At 45.2% G+C, this 22,107-nt stretch overlaps 1 protein-coding gene across 3 annotated transcripts in view, besides 2 other annotated features; it reads right to left on the bottom strand.

The window, feature by feature from the left end:
• LDLRAD3 (low density lipoprotein receptor class A domain containing 3) overlaps window positions 1-22,107 on the bottom strand; it is a 288,075-nt gene that overhangs the window by 193,690 nt on the left and 72,278 nt on the right. The window contains exon 2 of one of the 3 annotated variants that reach the window (NM_174902.4): window positions 2,198-2,344. The exons of the other annotated variants lie outside the window; for them this stretch is intronic. Within the exon in view, the coding sequence (NP_777562.1) occupies window positions 2,198-2,344 (147 nt within the window). The remainder of the gene's footprint in view (window positions 1-2,197; window positions 2,345-22,107) is intronic. 3 annotated transcript variants of the gene reach the window in all.
• Window positions 5,034-5,328: an enhancer, noted in NCBI's record as "tiled region #260; HepG2 Activating non-DNase unmatched - State 22:ReprW". NCBI's record gives its function as "activates a minimal TATA promoter and a strong SV40 promoter by Sharpr-MPRA in HepG2 cells {active_cell/tissue: HepG2}" and the evidence as "EXISTENCE:reporter gene assay evidence [ECO:0000049][PMID:27701403]".
• Window positions 19,479-20,678: an enhancer, noted in NCBI's record as "MED14-independent group 3 enhancer chr11:36039319-36040518 (GRCh37/hg19 assembly coordinates)". NCBI's record gives its function as "activates an origin of replication core promoter dependent on BRD2, BRD4, P300/CBP and CDK7 cofactors, and independent of MED14, by STARR-seq in HCT116 cells {active_cell/tissue: HCT116}" and the evidence as "EXISTENCE:reporter gene assay evidence [ECO:0000049][PMID:35650434]".

Raw genomic sequence — 22,107 nt, 5'->3', positions numbered from 1 at the left:
GGTCAGCTAACGATAATCCGTATGTGCCGAAGTTGAAATATACACCATATCTCAAAAATGGTAACTTGGCACACTTGTACAGTGTTTAATAAATCCTCAAAACCAGACAGATGACAGAGCTCACCCATACTATGTCATTTGCTCAGATTACTAATGTTATAGCTCTAGTAATTCTGAGGCCATGTTAGAAACAGAGAAAAGCTAAAATAGACATAATAATACTTTTAAAAAATAATTCTGCAGGCCGGGCTTGGTGGCTCACATCTGTAATCTGTAATCCCAGCACGTTGGAAGGCGGAGGTAGATGGATTATTGAGCTCAGGGGTTCAAGAGCAACCTGGGCAACGTGGTGAAACTCTGTTTCTACAAAAAATAAAAATACATTAGCCAGGCGTGACGGCGCACTCCTGTGGTCCCAGCTACTAGGGGGATCAAAGTGGGAGGATCACTTGAGTCCAGGAGGTCGAGGCTGCAGTGAGCTGTGATCATGCCATTGCATTCCAGCCTGGGCTGGAAAACAATAAACAAACAAACAATTCTGCAAAAATAAAAATTCAGTGTGTATAGTGATCAATTCAGAAAGATCATATGCAACAAGCAGTATGAAATATTCTCCCCAAATAACACACCCCCAATTTTCCCATCCCAAAAACTTCTCTGAAGGGCAGGAGCAGGCACTGGGGATATGGGACCCCTTGGATGGGCGAAGGACCAGTTTCAGAGGGGGCAGCTTGCTCCAGAGGTGTGTGAACTCCAAAGCCAGTGCCCGTTCCCATGCGTCAACAGACTCGGCCCCAAATTCTGGTCAGAAATATGTTAAAAATTCAAATGACTGACTGGGCACAGTGGCTCATGCCTGTAATCCCAGCACTTTGGGAGGCTGAGGTGGGCGGATCATGAGGTCAGTAGTTTGAGACCAGCCTGGCCAACATGGTAAAACCCCGTCTCTAATAAAAATACAAAAATTAGTTGGGCACGGTGGTGGGTGCCTGTACTCCAGCTACTCAGAAGGCTGAGGCAGGAGAATCGCTTGAACCCGGGAGGTGGGGGTTGCAGTGAGCCGGGATCACACCACTGCACTCCAGCCCCGGGTGACAGAGCAAGACTCCGTTTCAGGGAAAAAAAAAAGTTCAAATGATTAACCTGTCTTCAGCTATTTCCTCAGCTGGCTTCCAGGGAGACAGCAGGCTCAGAGCCAGGACACATAGTTCTCCTGTCAGACAGGCCACGTGGCCTGGTGCCCAAAGCACATGAAAGAGCCAGGAACCATCGTCCAGTCATGTGGTCTCAAGGCAATCCCCTGTGAGACAACCCTGTGCCCACCACTTGTCAGTCATGCTTCCTACCTACCAGGGCACCCAGGAGGACAACCACACAGGGCACCATGGCCAAGCTCACTCTGCAGAGACAAACTGAAGAGGAAGAGAAATACACCTCTGCAGGGCAGGGAGCAGGATCATTTGACACCACGGACCCCTCTCAACTCACATCCCCGGTGCCTCTTTTCTCGTAGATGATCATCAACCCAAATCTCATGCATGTTTCGGCGTCATGAAACAGGTAAAGGGCAGAAAAGGAGGTGGGGTGGGAAGGATCACAAAACCATTTGATCCTGGTGGTGCCCATTAGAAGATGATGTCCCCAGCAAAGCTCAAGCCATATCTATCGGCAGAGAAAAGGGGATGGGAAAGCACGTTACTATGTATTCAGTCCCAACTCCATGCTGAATACTTGGCAGGATGCTATGCCTCATTTAATCATCAAGAAAATTCCACGGTGCTCTGTAAGATGGTCACCAGCATGGACTCTGGTGTCAGGCAGCCCTGGGTTCCCAAGTCCAATGTGCCACTTGCTGGTTTTAAGATGCTGCAGCCACATAACCTCTGGGATGCTCAGTTGGCTCGTACATAAAGCGAAGGCAAGGATGGGACTCCAGGGTAGGGATTAGTAGAGCCTGATGGTAAAACCTTCTGCTCTCTCAAAGCGTTGGCTCCACCACCACCAAGATCCCTGTGTCTACACAGAGCATGTGACTCTGAGATGGAGATACAGCAAAGAAGCAGGACTGCTGGCAAGAGGCACAAAACCACCAGCTTGCAGCAAGCAGAGTGTGCAGGGTCTAAGCCTGCTCAGGACCTGCTCCCCTCTGCCCCAGGATGGCTGCCACCCCACCCCAGCAAAGGGCCAGGCCACTCACGGCACTCCTTCTCATCACTCTTGTCGAAGCAGTCAGGCAGCCCGTCACACTGCCAGGCGCCCGGGATGCACCGTCCATTGCTGCACATGAAGTTGCCTGGTATGTTGCACTCATTGGTGAAGTTGTTCCCGGGGAGCAGCTGGCTCTCTGTCAGAGAGAGGGGACAGGTCAGACGGCACAGCAACAGCAGGGACCTCAGCGCCCCTCAACTGAAAGGTGTGTGGTTTGGTATAGGTGAGACTTCTGGTAGATGACTCAACCTCTCTGACCTTCAGTTTCCTCATCTGTGAAATGGACTAATAATCTGCCCCAGTCCACCTCCAGAGATTCTGAGAGGACTAAATGGAGAAATACAGGGAACAAACATACTTGAATGTCAGGCACAAAATGGGTGTTCACTGACTTTTTTTCTTTCTCCATCAAAGACTGGTTGTAAAATCCAAATGTTCTTTTCTGGCCATCAGCAGTGGTTAAAAATTAAAATTCTAGACAGGAGTGAGCACTGGACTCCCAATGTCTCCAACATTAGGAACTGCAAGATCTTTCCAGGCCTCACACTCTGTAGCCCTTACAATCACAGAATCCTTGAAGTTGGGCCAAGTTGGAAGGAATACCGGGAGATCATTTCACTCTAGGAAACAGGAGCCCAGACCTATAAAACCAACCTGCCTGAGGTGGCACAGGTAGAAAAGGCCACATTGAATCTTGAACTTGGGATTTGTAACCTCCAGCAGGGTCCCAAGGTCATGGAATTGCCTTTCAAGAGTTACTGGAAGCTGAGAACCAAGCTGCAAGTTCAGATTCAACTCCACTGAACATGGTCATAAAGTGCCAAAGCCCCCAACCCGAACAGCCAACCCTCAGGCTAGAAAGCAAAGAGAGAACACCAGTGCTGTGGCGGTGGAGGTGGGCAGGGTGCTGAGTTCATCTACCAGTAGACCCTGGGGGGAGATTTTCAAGGGAGCCAGGATCTGATCGATCTGACCAGTCTGATCCATTGTGATCAATGGCTGAGAGATAAGGAGCCATGTGAGTAAAAGAGTTTTGGGGAAAAGCAGGAAAAAAAAAAAAAAAGACCAGTCCTTCAGCACACCACAACTCCAGAGCTCCCTCCTGAGTCATTCCATAAGCATTTACTGGACATTTATGACCAGATACTTGTGCTATGTTCTAAAGATGCAGAGATAAAGGCTAGGGCTTATTATACCTTTAGGCTGGAAAGGCACACACAGCAAAATAAGAACAGGGATGTCTAGACCCGCCTCGGGGTAGCAGAAGAGAAGGTCCCTGATTCTCTTTCATAAACCTTGCCAAAGAGAAGCATCTCTAGATTTCCAGATCCCTAACATCATATCCTCCTACAGGCCACTATCCTTTATGCGTGCTGTTCTTTTTACCAGGGATGCCCTTCGGCCTGCTGGGTCTCCCAGTAAATCCATACACACCCTTCAGCAAACAAATATGTCGCCTTTCCTCTGACGTGTCCCCTGGCTTTTCCAAACACAGATGAGCACTAATTCTGTAGTCTGGTGATAGTACCACTGGGGTGATACTAAAAATATTTTATAACTAGAACAAGCGGGCAACAACCAATTGCAATGGACACCGTCACAGGCAAGCAACACCCCACCGGCCTTGTTGCATGGAATTTCCCTTGTAGACCATCTGCTGCATTATACAGAATTAATAACGCACATGCACGTTTCATTACTGAAAATGAGCTTTCATCGCTCACTGGAGAACTCCAGGAGAGAAACTACAATGAGGGGCTCTACCCTGCCCAACTGCCCACATCAGAATCCTAGAAATCTCCCTTGTCCCCTCCTCAATCTATCAACCCCTATATGTGGCCAGTCCCCGACTCTCCATTGCCACAGTTGCGACTCCAGCCAAAGCAGCCACCCTTTCTTACAGGGATTGCTGCACAGCACAACTTCCCAACTTGGCCTCCCTGCCTGCCAGCTTGCCCCTCTCCAACCCACTCTCCCCTCTGTGGCCAGAAGGATCTGTCTAAACACCAAATGAATCATTTCTTAACTTTAAAAGGTCATTGAATGGCTCCCTGGTGTCCTTAAGATAAAGTCAAAATTCAAATAAATCAAAAAAGATTCCGAGAAAGAGGGTAGCATCTACAGTGGATGTTGATAGACACACAGAGATAAAAAGTAAGCACCCTTCAGGTCTAGAGAACAGTGTCAGCAAAGACTCTGTGCAGGAAGACGTAGCCCAGAGCATGGAACAACATGGAATTCAAAAATCATGCAGCTCTGATTGTTAGGAAATGCAAAGGTATTATGCTACTATTTCTCCTATTCTGCTGCAATTTCTCCTATTGTAGTGCAAAGTCAGCCATCCCTAATTAATCATGATGCTCTGTTCCACCGAGCCAAGAATCAATATGAGACTCCCTCTCAAGACCGGACTCCAGAAAGCCACCAACAACCCTGAGAAGAACATGAAACCAATTCACCATCTCCAGGCAAGGGCTTGAGGGGGACCCTAGAAGGGCAGCCAGGTACTGGATACTAGCCAGACAACAAATGCTCAACCCAGAAAACCCCCACATTCCAGCTGTTTGCTAACAACTGCTCTGTTGTTAGAGAACTGCTCTGTAGCAGAGAACTCTTCAGGGGCCTGGAATGTAAGGGTCATTCTGCTTTGTTTGGAAATACTTACACTTGCATTTGTAGAGTTAGCTCCTCCAAGGCAAGCCCCCCTGGAAACGTCACTGCAACTGTGAAATCTTGTTCTGATAAACAGATTTTTGGAGCGGGAAAATTGGCCAGATTAGATTCCAAAGTACTTGCTCTGAGAGTCAATAAGGCTGGCGGCACATGGACTTGACAAATGGATGGGTGGATGCAGAGACTAAATACCATGTCTGTTACACACAGGTGGTCCTGCCAGCCATGGGGCTCAAAGTGCTTTCTCAGCAGGACCAGGGATCCTGGGGCCTGGTGAACAATAACAGAGAGGCACATGCTTTTTGCTCTTCTGAGCAACCGCATTAGGCATGCAGCTGGTGCACAGCCGTGTGCTTTAGGGAAGTGACATCATCAAACTCAAAGCATGAGGAGGGCCGGTAACGGTAGCTCACACCTGTAATCACAGCACTTTGGGAGGCCGAGGCGGGTGGATCACTTGAGGTCAGGAGTTTGAGACCAGCCTACCAACATGGTGAAACCCCTTCTCTACTAAAAATACAAAATTAGCCGGGTGTGGTGGTGCACACCTGTAATCCCAGCTACTTGGGAGTCTGAGGCAGGAGAATCGCTTGAACCCGGGAGGCAGAGGTTGCAGTGAGCCGAGATCACGCCACTGCACTCCAGCCTGGGCAACAAGAGCAAAACTCTGTCTAAAAAAAAAAAGGCATGAGGAGAAACTAAGGCAAAGGCAGGTTAAATCTTATTGATTCTGTCTTCAAAAACCTGCCTCAAACCCATCCAATTTGCATCACTCAACTGGCACCACCCAATCCAAGCCGCCATTATCTCTTGCCCTTTTCAACCATGGGTTTTCAACAGGGATCAATTTTGCCCCCCTGGGAACATATGGCACTGTCTGGAGACATTTTGGGTTGTCATGATGGGGAGATGGGGGTGCTATTGGCGTCTAATGGGCAGAGTCCAGAGATGTTGCTATACCTCCTGCAATACACAAGACAGCCCCCACAATGAAGAGTCATCCCGCTGAAAATGTCAATAGTGCTGAGGTTGACAAACCTTAGTTTCTTAATTAAAAAACCTTTGGACTTCTCACTTCTCACTCCTTCCAGGTCCTTCTCTTCACACAGAGTGAGATTTTAAAATGCACTGATGGGTTCTCCGTGTCCTCAGAATAAATCTAAAACTCTGGCCATAGTTTACAAAGCCCAGCATGGTCCAGTTGCTGCCTGCTTCTAGATATTCATTTCGAACCATCTCCTGCAACACATCTCAGTGCCCCCTGCTGTGAGGCCTCCAGATGTGCTGTTTGCTGACCCCGGACATTCTTCCACCTACCTTTCATCTGTGTAACAGGCTCAATTGTGTCCCCCCAAAATTTACATGTTGAAGTCCTAAACCCTAGAACCTCCGAATGTGACTGTATTTGGAGATGAGGATCTTTAAAGAGGTAATGAAGTTAAAACAATGGCATTAGGGTGGGCCCTAATTCCATATGACTGATGTCCCTCTAAGAAGACATCAGGAAAGAGACCATGTAAGAGGGAAGACCATGTGAGGACACAGGGAAAAGACGACCACTCATTAGCCAAGAAAGAGGGGCCTCAGAGGACGCTAATCCTGCACCTCCATCTCAGACTTCTAGCCTCCAGCACTGTGGGAAAACAAACTTCTGTCATTTCAGCCACCCAGTCTGTGGACTTTGCTATGTTAGGTTGGTGCAGAAGTAACTGCATAATGCACAAGGCAATTACTTCTGCACCAACCTCACAGCAGCCCGAGCAAACTAATACACTTGGCTAACCTCATTCATCCAGACCTCAGCTTACATCACTTCTTCAGGTCCCTTCATGGACACTCAATCTAAAGCTGGTCCCCGTTTTTCACGCTGGTAGTGTCCTGTTTTCCTTTAACCCAGCTTTTGCTTACTGGTGTGTCTGTACTGTCTCTCCATCTAGACTGAACACTCCGTGAAGGCAGAGAGGCACTGTTTTGTTCAACTGTGTTCAGTGGGCACCTGACCACTCTGTAGGTCTCCAGTAAATACTTATAACCACTCTAAGAAGAAAGCCAAGTGTTCAGGCACTAATTTATTTCCTCCCTTTCCCCCATACTCTTCCCTAGAAAGTTCCACCTGCCCCTTGCCTCATCCCCCTAGAATGTGAGTGGAATCTGTACATACATAGTTAAAATAAGGGACATGGGGGTGTCTGGATTTGTACAAGTAAATTACTACCCAGTCTGCTTTAAAAGAGGTTAGAAATCTTTTCAGGCCGACAGCAGGACTTTCTAGTGGCTGAAATATTTATCCCATCTTAGTGCCTTGGGACACATTTAGAATCCAAAAAAGACAAGCATTAGCACGAAGTTGGCTAGCTGGGGTTTCTCCTCCTCCCTTCTCTTTTTTTCATTAAGCTGAAAAATGAAAAAGAGTTGCCCATTTTCACTGCAGCACATCACTTACTTAAAATAACTACACCATCTGCACCAAGAATGAAAAAAAAAAAATTACAAGTCCCATTCTATTGGACAAAGGCAAACAGCCTGCTGCAGAAGCTTCTTCCAAAACTGCTGGCTCCCACAAATTTATATTTGACAAGGGGGCCCAAACTGGGGCAACTACAAAAACTCAGACAGCTGCTGCATTCCACTCAAATTACTCCAGAACATGCAGTTAGTGATGTTGACTTTTCCAGCTGAGAAATGGGAATTCCATCCTACCAGCTGGAGTCCTCCTGGCTCTCTCCTCTCCTACTGCTGTTCTTCCTGCCCTAGGGGGACCCCTTGTCATGATGCAATCTAGAACTGACATCTGGAAACCATGACAGCCCTGCTTTCCAACTTCTGCCCAGTGGCCTTCATTTTTATCCTCTGCTTCCTGACAATCTGGATCTGAAGGCTCAATGAACAGCAAAAGCAAGACAGACACCCATACATAGGTACAGACACACATACGGCTTAGCATTTGGTTTTGCAGATCTCAAACGGATCTTGTCTAGAACCTCCCCAGAGAATTAACCACCTCTTTCCACTGCCCAGTGCCAACAAACATAGTGTCATGAGGCCACTGAAGGCCACTGTCTGTTTTCCGTGACTGTCTTCTTCAAACGTACACACACACACACACACACACACACACACACACACACACTCCATGCACAGGCACAGGCCAGTGAGTGAGCGGCTCTGCAGTGATCTGTTTACAAACATCCCCAGAAAGTCCCTGAAGACCTCCTCGACTCTAGGTTGCTCCACACAGTAGCATCAGTGACAGAAGGAACCAGAGACATCTGTCCTGTGCACTTCCCATTCGGTTCCCATCAAACTGCTTCCTGCTGGAGCCTGACTATGAGGAGCACTCTAGCTGTCACCAAGAAGAGTCACACAAGGCTGTCTGAGTTTGGGGCGAAGATGGGCCTTCTGGGTCTAAGCCCCTGAGCACAGCCAGATCTCTAGCTCTGTCTAGACTCTTCAGGCAACCCTGCCCTGTGAGCTCATTCCAGTAGCCCCAGCCTCCATTTACCCATCTGTTCAAGGAAGACAGCCCAGGGAAATTGGTGAGAAGGTATAACATGACCCCTGGGTTCAGCCCAGGACCATTGGCTATTGATATCCACAGATTTCATATTTACACTGCCTATGACCCTAAAAGAAGATGGTGTGCAATTCTGCAGCAGGAACAACTGATGGATGGAGCCAGTCACCGGGATAGTGAGTGGGCCTAGCTGCCTACTGTGCCATGAGGTGTCTGCACTTTGTATAGCTATATGGTTGTTTCTCCTACAAGGGTAAAGCAGCATGAGTCACAAAATGATAAAGGCTTCGTTCCTTTCTTACAAAGCGAGTTAGTAAAGAAAGCCAATGGCTGTTATTAATGGGGCAAGCAAAGAGGTCTAGGTAAAGGACAGTTTTTCACCAGGAAATAGTTTTATGAATTATTTTCGTGCTGTATTTATAGCCTCATTAAGGGCCTGATAGCTGCTACTTACATTTTTTTAGTTATGCTTCAGTGCATTTCATGAGGAAAATTATGTTGCAGCAGTGTTAATCTAGTGGGGGTTTGCAGAGCCATCGGGATACGGCCTTTGTGAGATCCAAAGTCCACAGTTTGGGGGTCTGACAGCAACTCTGGAAGATGCTGTTTGTCATGATACTGACCTCCAAGATGAGCACTGAGTCCTGGCGCCACCCTTGTCCCATCCCTCCTCCTGCTCCCTTTAACAGCCCTCAAGATAGCAATTATTATGGACTTTTCACTAGGGAAGACCTGACATCTACGGAAACACATACACATGGCAGAAGTGGAACATCAGTTTTTGTTTGTTTGTTTGTTTGTTTGTTTTGAGATGGAGTCTTACTCTGTTGCCAGGCTGGAGTACAGTGACACGATCTCGGCTCACTGCAACCTCCGCCTCCCGGGTTCAAGCGATTCTTCTGTCTCAGCCTCCCAAGTAGCTGGGATTACAGGCATGTACCACCACACCCAGCTAATTTTTTTGTATTTTTAGTAGAGACGGGGTTTCCCCATATTGACCAGGATGGTCTCGATCTCCTGACCCTGTGATCCGCCTGCCTCGGCCTCCCAAAGTGCTTGGATTACAGGCGTGAGCCACTGCGCCCGGCCCTTCAGTTCCTTTTTACTCCTTACAATTGCCCTATGAAACAGGCACCATTTCCATTTTGCAGATGAGGAAACTGAAACTGAAGAAGTAACTTGCCCAAGGTCACACAGCTAGAACAAGTCTGCAAATGGCCAGAGTAAATATTTCAGGCAGTGTAGGCCAAGAAGCCAAATTAAGGTACCTATATAAGAGGAGAGAAAAGAATATTCTACAAATTTTTTATTGATTAAATTCAAAATATTTTCATAATCATTGGGAACAATTTTCTGTAATATAGGTCTACTAAGAAAAAAAATGGAATTCTTTTTGGGAAGGGTAATTAACATTTCACTTAATTGAGGTTCAAAGTTAGTGCTTCCCATTATCAAAATATATTATAAATGTCTGATTTTTTTCCCAACCATTTAAATATGTAAAAGCCATACCTGGTTCAGAAGAGTGTCTACAAGCAGGTGATGGCTGACTTTAGCCCATTTGCCAACCGACTCCCTGCACTAGACAACTACAGGCTTATGTAAAATAAGAAAATGACAGAAGTGGCCAATCCCAAGGCATATCCTCCCTATCCCATCACATCCACCACTCTGAAATGAGCCCCGTTGTTGACTGGCTGCTCCCAACACCATGTCTTCTTGCTGCTGCATCCTCAGCAACTAGCAAGTGCCAGGTGCCTGGAAGACTCTCCACAAATGCCTATTGACTGCATGAACAGGCAACAGAACCTGTTGAACCTTAAGAACCTTTCCAGTTCTGACATTCTTAAATTCTGTGAATTTATCTAAACAGGAGTTGACCCCATTTATAATCTGCCACGCAATATGCAATGGATAAATGAGATTGGGGTGAAGAACACTTCTGGGCTCCCAGGAGTAAAGGCACTGAAGTCAAGAGCTTCTGGAAGAACTTTTGCAAGCGCTTGCTTTTCACTCACACCCATGTCCTTGCCAAGGGCTGGCTGCCGGTCAGACCTGGGAGAGAACCCAGAGCAGGAGCCATCCTCCTATGCCTTCTGTCTTTTCAGCTCAATCAGCAGCAGCAGGAGGAAGTGAGCTAGGCATGCCACTAAACTGAAGGAGGAGACAACTTTACGACCAATTTTATCTGGCTTGTGATAAGCCAGGGCTTATGAGAGAGCCAATCGACTCTGCACTTCAGCACCTCTCAGGAACAGCCACTGCCCAAAAAGAAGGATTTTGCTACAACCTCAAGTTCAGCCCAGCCCCTTGTGCCCAAGAACAACTGCAGCAATTTCCACAGCCACTGGGAACCATTCGATAGTCTCTCTTCTGCTCCATGCAGATGCCTCCAGGCAGGGCAAATAAGGAAAATACCAAAGCCAACTAAGCAATAAGGCCAGAAAAGCAAAATGATCTTCATATAGGCCCCAAAATGTATCTCTATGAGCTCAGGGTAAGGAAGAAATTCTTAAATAAGACTCAAAGGAGAGGCCACAAAGGAGAAGACTGATAAATACAACTGCATTAAAATGTAAGACTCCTAATCATCAATAGATATAAACAAAGTTGAAAGAGAAGCCACAAACTAGAAAAAGATTATCTGCCACATGTATAACCCACGAAGTATCAATATCTAGAATTTTCTGACAAAATGATATAAGAAAATACAAGCAGCCCAGTAGAAAAATGGACAAAGCCCATGAACAGGTACTTTCACCGATGAGGAAACTCAAATAGCCACTTAATATATACTCAATCTCACTTGTAATCAAAGAATGATTAATGGAACAAGAGGGCTCTCTTTTACACCCAACTTGCAAAAATTTGAAGCCTGACATTCTTAAGTGGCAAGAAGATGGGGAGGAACAGGAACTCATACACGGCACATCTGAAGAGCAATTTGGCAACTCCTAGTGAAGCTCACACACTTTTGTTACTGGAAAAGGGTCCCGACCCAAACTCCAAGAGAGGGTTCTTGGATCTCATGTAAGAAAGAATTCAAGGCGAATCCAGAGTAACGTGAGAGCAAGTTTATTAAGAAAGCAAAAGAATAAAAGAATGCCTACTCCATAGGCAAAGCAGCCCCAATGGCTGCTGGTTGCTCATTTTTATGGTTATTTCTTGATTACATGCTAAACACAGGGTGGATTATTCATAAGTTTTCTAGGAAAGGGGTGGGCAATTCCTGGAAGTGAGGACTCCTCCCCATTTTAGACCATATAGGGTAACTTCCTGATGTTGCTATGGCATTTGGAAACTGTTATGGCACTTGTGGGAGTGTCTTTTAGCATGCTAATGCATCGTAATTAGCATATAATGAGCAATGAGGACGACCAGAGGTCATGTTCCTCGCCATCTCGCTTTTGGTGGGTTTTAGCTGGCTTCTTTACTGAAATCTGTTGTATCAGCAGGTCTTTATGACCTGTATGTTCTACTGACCTCCTATCTCATCCTGTGACTTAGAATGCCTAACCTCCCGGGAATGTGGCCCAGTAGGTCTCAGCCTCATTTTATCCAGCCCCTATTAAGATGGAATCACTCTGGTTTAAATGCCTCTGACACTTTGACCCAGCCAATCCTAATAGATACCCTAGGCCTAGGGACAAACATGTATATGTGCACAGGGCGACAGCAAGAGAACATTCAGTGAGACACTACTATAATACAAAACTGTAAGACAAACTAAATGTTCATCAAAAGGAGAATGGATGAGAAAACAGGGTACATTCACACAATGAAAAGGCTACTCAGAGCTTCAATTAAATGAACTAGGGTTTACATCACTCAACATAGGTAAATCTGAGAAACTTACTGCTAAGTGAAAAGAGCGAACTGCAGAATATCACCTACATCCTGTTTAAAAAATACTATTTTAATGGGTACATACAGATTTTTTAAATGTACAGGAGAGGTAAATATCAAATTCAGGGCCGGGTGTGGTGGCTCACATCTGTAATCCCAGCACTTTGGGAGGCCAAGGCGGGCAGATCATCTAAGGTCGGGAGTTTGAGACCAGCCTGACCAACATGGTGAAACCCCGTCTCTATGAAAAATACAAAAATTAGCTGGGCTTGGTGGTGCATGCCTATAACCCCAGCTACTCAGGAGGATAGGGCAGGAGAATCGCTAGAACCTGGGAGGCAGAGGTTGCAGTGAGCCAAGATCATGCCACTGCACTCCAGCCTGGGCAACAAGAGCGAAACTCCATCTCAAAAAAAAAAAAAAAAAAAAAATCAAATTCAGGATCATGGGTACCTCTGGCAACTGGGATCGTACATAATGAACTTCAACTGCAAGATTTGTCTTAAAAAAAAATCTGGGCCGGGCGCGGTGGCTCACACCTGTAATCCCAGCACTTTGGGAGGCCGAGGCGGGCAGATCACAAGGTCAGGAGATCAAGCCCATCCTGGCTAACAGGGTGAAACCCCGTCTCTACTAAAAAATACAAAAAATTAGCCGGGAGTGGTGGCGGGCGCCTATAGTCCCAGCTACTCGGGAGGCTGAGGCAGGAGAATGGCGTGAACCCTGGAGGCGGTGCTTGCAGTGAGCTGAGATCACACCACTGCACTCCAGACTGGGAGAGAGAGCGAGACTCCATCTCAAAAAAAAAAAAAAAAATCTGAAGCCAGCATGGCAAAATATTAGAATTCAGTGGAACTGGGTGCAGGCACACAGCGGGATTTGTGCTATTCTTGGTAACTTTTCGCTACCCTTTAAAAAAATGTTTCATTGCTAAAATTTTATTATAAGGAACAAAAATTACACTAATATTTTAGGAAAAAAAACCCTATGAAAGACATATGGAAGCATTTACCACTATATTCTCGCTTCAAAAACCCCACCAACTACAAAGGAATGCGAGATAAAAGGGGGCAAGCATTCATACTGGAAAAGAAAGAGCAAATGCAAAGACCTTCTTCTGGGAGATTCCATCTATTATGAGCTCTTTTCATATTCTGAAAGGCAGCAACAGTTGCAGGGCAGAAGCTGATTGTGGAGGAAAAAATAAATGTTATCTCCTAAGATAGATTTACCCACCAAACTTACTAAGCCATGACATTCCAAAAACAGAAATAGCAAGGCCTAGCCAGTAGGTCAGATATTTTTTGAGTACTAACTCCCTAAGAAGTCAGGGTGAGGAAAGCCACAGTAAAGCTGTCTTCCTTAGAATAGTCCACACCATCTGCCTCCTCGCCCCTCAACATGGGGCTGCAGAAGGCTGAGCAAGGCTCAGATGGGCTCAGTTGAGGATAGCCAAGGCTGTGACTTGGTAGGGCCCCCTGGCTTTTGCAACTAAGGAAGGGCCAAAGGCACAGAGCACAGTCAAAAACCAGGGTGGCCAGCACAGAAGAAGTGGTTTGAGGGTGCAGGATGGGGGAAGGCAAGGAAACCAGACAGTGAAGCCCAATCCCTTGTCCTCCCTTCTGGGAAGACAGTCTGTTAAAAAGAGCATGAGCTCAGGAGTGAGCCAGACTTGGGTTCTAATGCCTAATTCTCTTATAACCATAACTAGCTGTGGCAACTTCAGACAAGTGAGCTACCCTCTCTGAGCTTCAATTTTCCATTTGTAAAACTGAGGAAACCCCACATCCCTGGCAGCATTGCTGAGGGATAGAGGGATGATAGATACAAATAATGACAAAGATATGGCTATAGATATAGATATGGATATAGCTATAGATATAGATATAAAACATATATATAGGTAAAATGTGGACATACAAGAGACAGAAGGATAAAGTATATATAAGAGAGCAGGTGGTATATACTTGGGGTTTAATAAATGGTACTAGTATATGTTACTCCTTCCTTCCCTCCATACATTCTTACGGACTCTCTGAGTCAGAGAAGGCTGGGTCCCTTTTCTCTTCCTGCCTCTCTAGAGTGGGTGTAGCCTGGTCAGATGGGAAGCCTGCTGGAATCTGGGCTGGTTAGCTGGAACGTGGTGGTCACTTAGATCCAGAAAAGCAGATTGTGGGGCCAGACACCAGGTTTTAAGGACACAGTTAAAGACCTCCCAGTGCAGACCCTGGCTGTGTGTCTTCTCATACATGATGGCCTCAGCTCAATTATTCCTAAGAAATAATTAGCCCTCCTTAAATCATTCCTAGATCTCTTTAATAGCAGCCAAACTATACACATGAACGAACCCTTCCAAACAACTATAAAGCTGTAAAGCAGGTCAAATGAGAAAGGCATATGGGACTCACCACTGGGCTTTGGGGGAGTTGCTTCACTTCCCTGAGCCTCAGTTTCCCCATGCATAAAGTAAGGCAGTAACAGACGACAATCAAATTCCCCCACTCATTCTTTGTTTCTGTGGACTCGTAATCGTCCCCATAGCAGGCAAACACACATCATCTGCCTGTCCTAGATAGAGTCTTCAGCATTTAAAAATAATAAGTGGGATTGACATAGAGCTCCTCCTCTGAGGGACTGAAAATATCCTTGAAAGGCAGGTACTGAAGATAGTTCCTCTTGTTTAATAGAGAGAGACTAAAACCCAGAGAGCAACCAGCTCATCAAAAGGCAGTGCTGGAGCTAGCCAGAGAATCCAAGTCTCCAGCTCCCAGATGAGACCCAATTCTGGCCTCTGCACTTTACAACTCTGACCTTCTCTACTCAGCTAGGAGACGGCTAGTCCCCATGGCCCCCTGCAACAGGAGAAAATAATCTCCAAAGGGACGGGAATCACACCTACCTCCCGTTCCCTATGGATTAAAGGGTCTCTCTGGTTCACTTCAATTATCCATAATCTTCCATCATGTCTCAGCAAATAAATGATTATTTGGCTTATCACTTCTGATTGGGAAAGCAACCCCGCCAGGGAGATCAAAAACGCCAGCCTGTTTCCGTCAAGCAAAGAGGGTGTGCATATTAACCAGTGAGTCTTTTTAAATTTTCTTAAGTAGCTTAATCCATTAAACTGGTCCATCCCGCTTCTACAATCTGCTCACACAGGCACACTCCCTCCTGAGCACGACGACAGGCCCTCCATCATGAGGAATTAGCTGACTTCTTGAGCAAATGATGTTTGTACATCTAGAAAGTGCCAGAGTTAAGCAGTGTTTACTGCTGGAGTCCCCACTTTAGTATGCATGTCTGAATGATCGCAGCTTTCAGACCTCCTGAGCAAGCAATTTACCTTTGCAAGAGACTATCAGGTTTGGTAAATCTGTTTTAAAGGGCTGAAACTGTGTAGACGAACCTGTTTGGGGTTTCCAGATTGCAAAGGGTAGCCTATGAAAAGGTAGCTTATGACCTTCCAGAAAACGAAGCAAGTTTAAAAATTAAAGATGGATTATAGAGCCCTTCTCATTTGAGTCAGCCCTGGAGCCCATACACTGAATTCTATTACCATTACTTTCCAAGCTCAGGGAATTACTTACCCACCCTGTGCCTCAGTTTCCTTATATATAAAACAGAGATTGACCAGATGCAAACTTGACAGTCTCCCTGGGTAATCAAAGGGCTGTTCTGTCCATCTTGGTATTGGAGCAAAGTAGTCACAGACCTGGAAACATTAGAATTCTCACTGTGTATCACTCACACAAGAAAACCTCTTAAAGAAAAAAAAAAATACTAAAATTCAGTAGAAGCTTCTGAATTTTTCACACATTTTATGACAGCATGCAAATAGTGGCCATAAGATTAACTAGGGCTCATTTCTTAAAGGTGTTATAATTCACGATTAAAGAATTACTATGATATAAAGACTAGATGTAATGTAGGTACATAACACGTCATTTCATAAGACAAAGCATTCTAATGTAGTTACATGATTAATAATTAGAGGAAGGGTGATCTGAAGTGTAAAAGGATCCACCCTGAACTGAATACAATAGAATCATACCAGGCGAGATGAAAGAACAGAAGGGAACTGTTTATTAGGAAACGATTTTTCAGTAAATTGAAATAACGTGCGCCACAGTGTGGGTCCAGTTCTTCAGGTGACTCCATTGCTCCCTGCTAACAGGGGCAGCTCAATATCAAGACACTGGAAGAAGTCAAAGGCCTGGTGAACGCTGAGACCATGATTAACCTTTAAATACGTTTGAGGCCAGGCACAGTGGCTCACGCCTGTAATCTCAGCACTTGCAGGGCTCAGGTAGGAGGATTACTTGAGCCTAGAAGTTCAAGATCAGCCTGGGGTATATAGTGAGACGTCATTTCTACCAAAAAAAGAAAGAATTAAAAATTAGCCAGGCATAGTGGCATGTGCCTGTAAGTCACAGCTACTCAGGAGGCTGAGGTGGGAGGATCACTTGAGCCCGGCAGGCAGAGGTTGCAGTGAGCCAAGATCACGCCACTGCACTCCAGCCTGGGAGACAGAGCCAGACCCCCTCTAAAAGAAAACAAGGTTTAAACCCTACAGTCTGCATATTCTTCAATCCCTTGCCATCTGTCCGGTTCCCACCACCATCACTCTCTCCTGAATCTGTCTTCACAAAGTCACCAGGGGGCCTCCCAATCATTGAATTCAAACGTTAATTTTCCATCTCTTCCTTAGGCACAATTCTGCTGCTTTGGATCAGCTAGATCATTCCCTCCTTCTGAAACTCCATTCCCTTGGCCACCCTCACACCATATTCTTCTCTTCCTCTGCCTCCCGTTAACACACACCTGGCTCTCTGATCATTCCTTCTCAGTCATCTCGGAAGCTCCTTTCCCTCCTTTAACAGCCTTCAGAGTTTTGCTCCCAACTGCTTAAACAAGCGATATCTTCCCTAGTTAAGTCATTTTGTCCACTATTAGTTGGACCTTCACGGTGATAACTTCCAAACCAACACCGCCAATTCAGTTCTCTTCCCTTCAACGACATCCTCCATCCACCCTTGGCTTCACATTTCCACCCCGTATTGCCAAAGATACTTCCATCCCTGGCACAAGCTCAGCATGTCCAAAACAGAATGTTGGGGTTTTCTTCTAAAGCTGCTCCTCCTGCATCATGCGCCATCTCAGCTGGTAGAACCACCAACCATCCCTCTCCCTCACCCCCACCGCCATCAACCAACTGATGCTTTCATTAATATGTCCCATCCCTGTCACTCACAACCCTAGTCCAAATGCTTCTCTTACCTCTTTGGCACTAATGGCTTCCTTACTGGCTTTCCTGGCTCCAGTCTTGGCTTCTAAAAGCATCCTTCACACAGCTGTAGAACAAATCTGACCACGTCACATGCTGTTTCAAATCCCCATTCCACAGCGGGTAAAACTCAAGGTCCCTGGGTCAGCAGAGGTGCCCTGGGTATCCTGGCCAGCCCACCTCTCCAGGGGTTTTCTCCCTAGTCCCCCAAGACAATGTACAAGCCCCCACTCAGACCTCTCAACATAACTTATGCAAACCTCTATCTCTTCATTTACCATAATGCTCCACAAATTTCTGTTGGGTGCCTTTCTTCCCCCGACAACTCATGAACAACTTTTAAACTACAGGAGGGAATGTGTTCTAATGTAGCCCAGAGCCCACAACAGAGTGTCTATCGAAATGGAGAGAGAAAAAGAAGGAGGGAAAAATGGACAGTTGCTTCCCTGTGCTAAAATACTATAAACATTTTGTGGATTATTCCTTCAAATTAGGATTATTCCTCCATCTTGTGGACAGTCCCTATTTGCATGCATTTTAAGATTACAGAACTAAAACATGTCTCTTCACGCTCAGATAATAACTTGCTTATTTTAAAAGGTAGGAGCGGGCATAGGAACCAAAAATTCATGTTTTTATTCATATTATTTTTTATTCATATTATTATTTTCTTTCCTGAGAAGGCTATGGACCCTAGGATTTTCTGTGAGGCAACCTTTACCTCCAGATTAGCTTGAGTGTAAACCAGTAATTCTTCATGGCTCAAAGTAAAAATTCAAATGTAGTCCAGTCCTTCATACTGCAACTTTGGCAGGTAAAAGCTTGCCTCCAGAACTCCGGGGCACAAGGACTTTGCATGTGATAACATGTGCTGTCAGCATCATCTGACACAGCTGCCCATAGACAAACCCAGCATTCTGTGATGACCCATGCCCACAGAGCCAGCTCACAGGGAATCAAGGTCAGACACATGTTAAAGGGGAAGAGAGCCAGGCCCAAGTGCATCCAGCAGGTGACAACGCCTCTCTGAGTCAGCCCTCTGTTTCTGCTCTGCACTGGGTGGCAGACCGCCTCTCAGTCACGCCTCCAGTCCTCCATCCACAGAGAGGTTGATTCACCTTCTCCCCATGGTGAATCCCAAACCATTAGCACCCTAACTTTGGCCTTTGTTTCTTTCTGTATCCAGGGAATAGTGACAGCTGCAACACAGTGTGATGGGCTACTGTGCTCTGGGACTCTCACCCAGAGCAGGCAAAGGCACAAGCCCTTTACTACTGGAGAGGTAAGGGTGAGCTGGCAGGAATGAAGGAGCCTAAAGGGGTTCAGTCGAAAGCTTGCCTCTGTTATCAACGGCCACTGAAGTGCTGGGACCCAGGCCCTTGGCCACCCCATTCCTGGAAGCTCTGGTGTCCTATGAACAATGAGGCCAGGTTATCTACCTATATGGAAGGTGGCAGCTCTCCACATGACCTGGATGTGAAGAGAGGAATAATGGCTCCACACGAAGCAAGACTGACATAGGAAATGCCAGCAGAATAAAGAAACATAATGAACCAGAGTGCCAGCACATCTCCAGAGACTCTCCCTGTCTCTCCTTTTGTCAATCAAGTGCCTTTATGCTAACAACATGAGAGACCATGGTTTTTAAGAGACACGGGGCAAGAGATTCAGCTTTGCACTGAACACCCGCGATAATCAGCTCCAACAGGCTCCAACCCCTGCCTGGCATGGCTCACTTTCCAGCTCAGATCACAATCTACCCCGTGCTGCACAAATGATAATGCATTTACAGACAGCCGGACTCTCCAGCCAGGAGGAAAAATTTCACCTAATTAAATAAAAACAAAGCAGAAAACCAAAGCCTTCAATGCCAGAAAGAAGAAGTACTTGGTCTTTTATAGAGTTTTATAGCCAGAAATGCCCATCGAGATTTTTTTTTCTAAATGTGTGTTTTAAAACAATCCTCTATGTCCCTAATTGGAACTCCTTAAGAGAACTGCAAACAAACCAAGAAAAAAATGAATAAAGAAAACGAACAAGCATGGCACAAAAAATAAACATGGCTAATAAATGAAAAGATGCACAGCCTCACTAGCAGGTAAACAAATGCACGTGAAATGCCATTGTTTAGAACAATGCGACTGGCAAAAGTTGAAAAGATGAGTACTCTTGAGGGTTGGCAGGGTGAGGAAACTGGCACCCTCAGACCCTACTGGTGGGAGTATAAATTGGTACCATCTCTCTAGGGCCATTTGACAGCACCTGGCACAATTTATAATGAGCTTACCTTTGGACCCACTGATTGTATTTCTAGGAATCTAGCCTTAGAAATATATAAATGCAGGGAGAAACACATAAAAGGCTGGGTTTTTTTTATTTATAGCATCACTTGTAAAAGTCCAAAACTTTAAAGAACTCAAGTGTCTATAAGAGGAGATAGGTAAATGAAAGGGATCTTCAAAGTTTGTGAAAATGCATATTATGAAAAAATTATGCATGGATTTTAAAATTTTTCTGTACCCAAATAAACTCATACTAACTTGTTATAACATGTCTGAACAGGATCGAGCTTGAGGAACTAAGAAGGATAAGACATCAGTTTGAAAAAAGCCCCTATTGGAGCAACATGAATTCTGCTAAAACTGAAGCAAGAACAAACATCAAATTTATGATGAAGCTTGGGTGAAGGGATGATGAAATCACTGATGCTTTACAAAAAGTTTATGGGAACAATGCCCCCTGCCAAAATCAGCAGTTTACAAACACCTAACTCATTTTAAGACGGGGCAAGACAGTGTTGAAGATGAAGCCTGCAGCCGCAGACCATCCACATCAACTTTTGAGGAAAAAATTAATCTCGTTTGTGCCCTAATTAAACAGGATCCATGATAAACAACAGAAATAATAACCCACAGACATCTCAACTGGTTCAGCTTACACAATTCTGACTGAAAAACTGAAGTTTCTACCTGATGAATGCCAAAACTGGTGCACCCAGAACAGCTACACAGTAGAACAGAGCTTTCAATGGAAATTTTAAACAAGCGGGACCAAGATCCTGAAGCATATCTTTGAAGAACTGTATTAAATGAAACATGGGCCAGATGTAGTGGCTCATGCCTATAATTCCAGCACTGTGGGAGGCCAAGCGGGTGGATCACTTGAGGTCGGGAGTTGGAGACCAGCCTGGCCAACATGGTGAAACCCCGTCTCTACTAAAAATACAGTCATGGGGCATGGGGGTGCACGACTGTAATCCCAGCTACTCGGGAGGCTGAGGCACTCGAATTGCTTGAATCTGGGAGGTGGAGGTTGCAGTGAGCCAAGATCACGCCAATGCACTCCAGCCTGGAGAACAGAGCGAGACTCAAAAAAAAAAAAAAAAAGATGATAAAATATGGCTTAATCAGTACAATCATGAAGAAAAAGCACAATCAAAGCAATGGCTACCAAGAGGTGAAAGTAGTCCAGTCACAGCGAAAGTTGACCAGTCAAGAGTAAAGGTCATGGCAACAGTTTTTTGGGATACTTGAGAGCTATTTTGCTTGTTAGCTTTCTGGAAGGCCAAAGAACAATAATGTCTGCTTATTATGAGAGGTTTTGAGAAAGTTAGCCAAAGCTTTGGCAGAAAAATGCCCCAGAAAGCTTCACCAGAGAGTCTTCCTCTATCCTAGTAATGCTCCTGCTCAATTCAACTCATCCAACAGGGCAATTTTTTGAGAATTTCAATGGGAAGCCATGAGGCAGCCTCCTTACAGTCTTGGCTTCTGATTTTGTTCCCTAATCCTAAAAATCTTTCAAAGGCAAATGTTTTTCTTCAGTTAATAATGTAAAAAACACATTGACATGGTTAAATTCCCAGAACCCTCAGTTCTTTAGGGATGGACTAAATGGTTGGTATCATCGCTTACCAAAGTGCCTTGAACTTGATGAAGCTTATGTTGAGGAGTAAAGTTTATATTTTTATCTTTTAATTATGTCTTTCCACAAACTTTCTGAGGTCCCCTCCTATGATGCAATATAGCCATAGTACCACATCAGCCTTTAAAAAGAATTCAGGAGTTAGAACGTACTGACACGGAAGAATAGCCACAATAGAGTCAGAAGGGAAAGAGCAAGTTGGAAAACAATATGTATAGCAGAATCCCATGTTTGTTCATCGCTAGAGATGTAGATGTATAGTGTACTGGTATTTACATTTATATCTGCACAATCTTAGAACACACACTCTGCAGGGAAGGAACTGAGAGGTCCTTTTAGAATGTGGGTATATTTTCTATTGGCATCTTTTCTTCAGAACCAATTGCTTAAAGTGTCACCATAGTAAATATGCCTGGAGAACTTACGAAAGCGGCCAAGATGATTTAGGGGAGAGGTGGCATAGCGCTGCTCATTGTAAAAATACATACACACAGAGAAAGATTTGTTCCTTTAACATTAAGAAACAAAACCCAAAAGGAAACAGTCATCTTACTCACCAAATTACAAAATATTTTCATGAAGCATTCCTTAAAGCACAAGAGAAGTAAGTTTGGGATAAGAGTACTTGATACAGTCAGAAACTAATAGTCCCAAATGTTGG

This window comes from Homo sapiens, chromosome 11 (assembly GCF_000001405.40).
Source record: "Homo sapiens chromosome 11, GRCh38.p14 Primary Assembly".
In the NCBI taxonomy this organism is placed as follows: Eukaryota; Metazoa; Chordata; class Mammalia; order Primates; family Hominidae; genus Homo; species Homo sapiens.
Note: the sequence above shows the minus strand (reverse complement) of the source record. Positions and strands in the feature narration are given on the sequence as shown.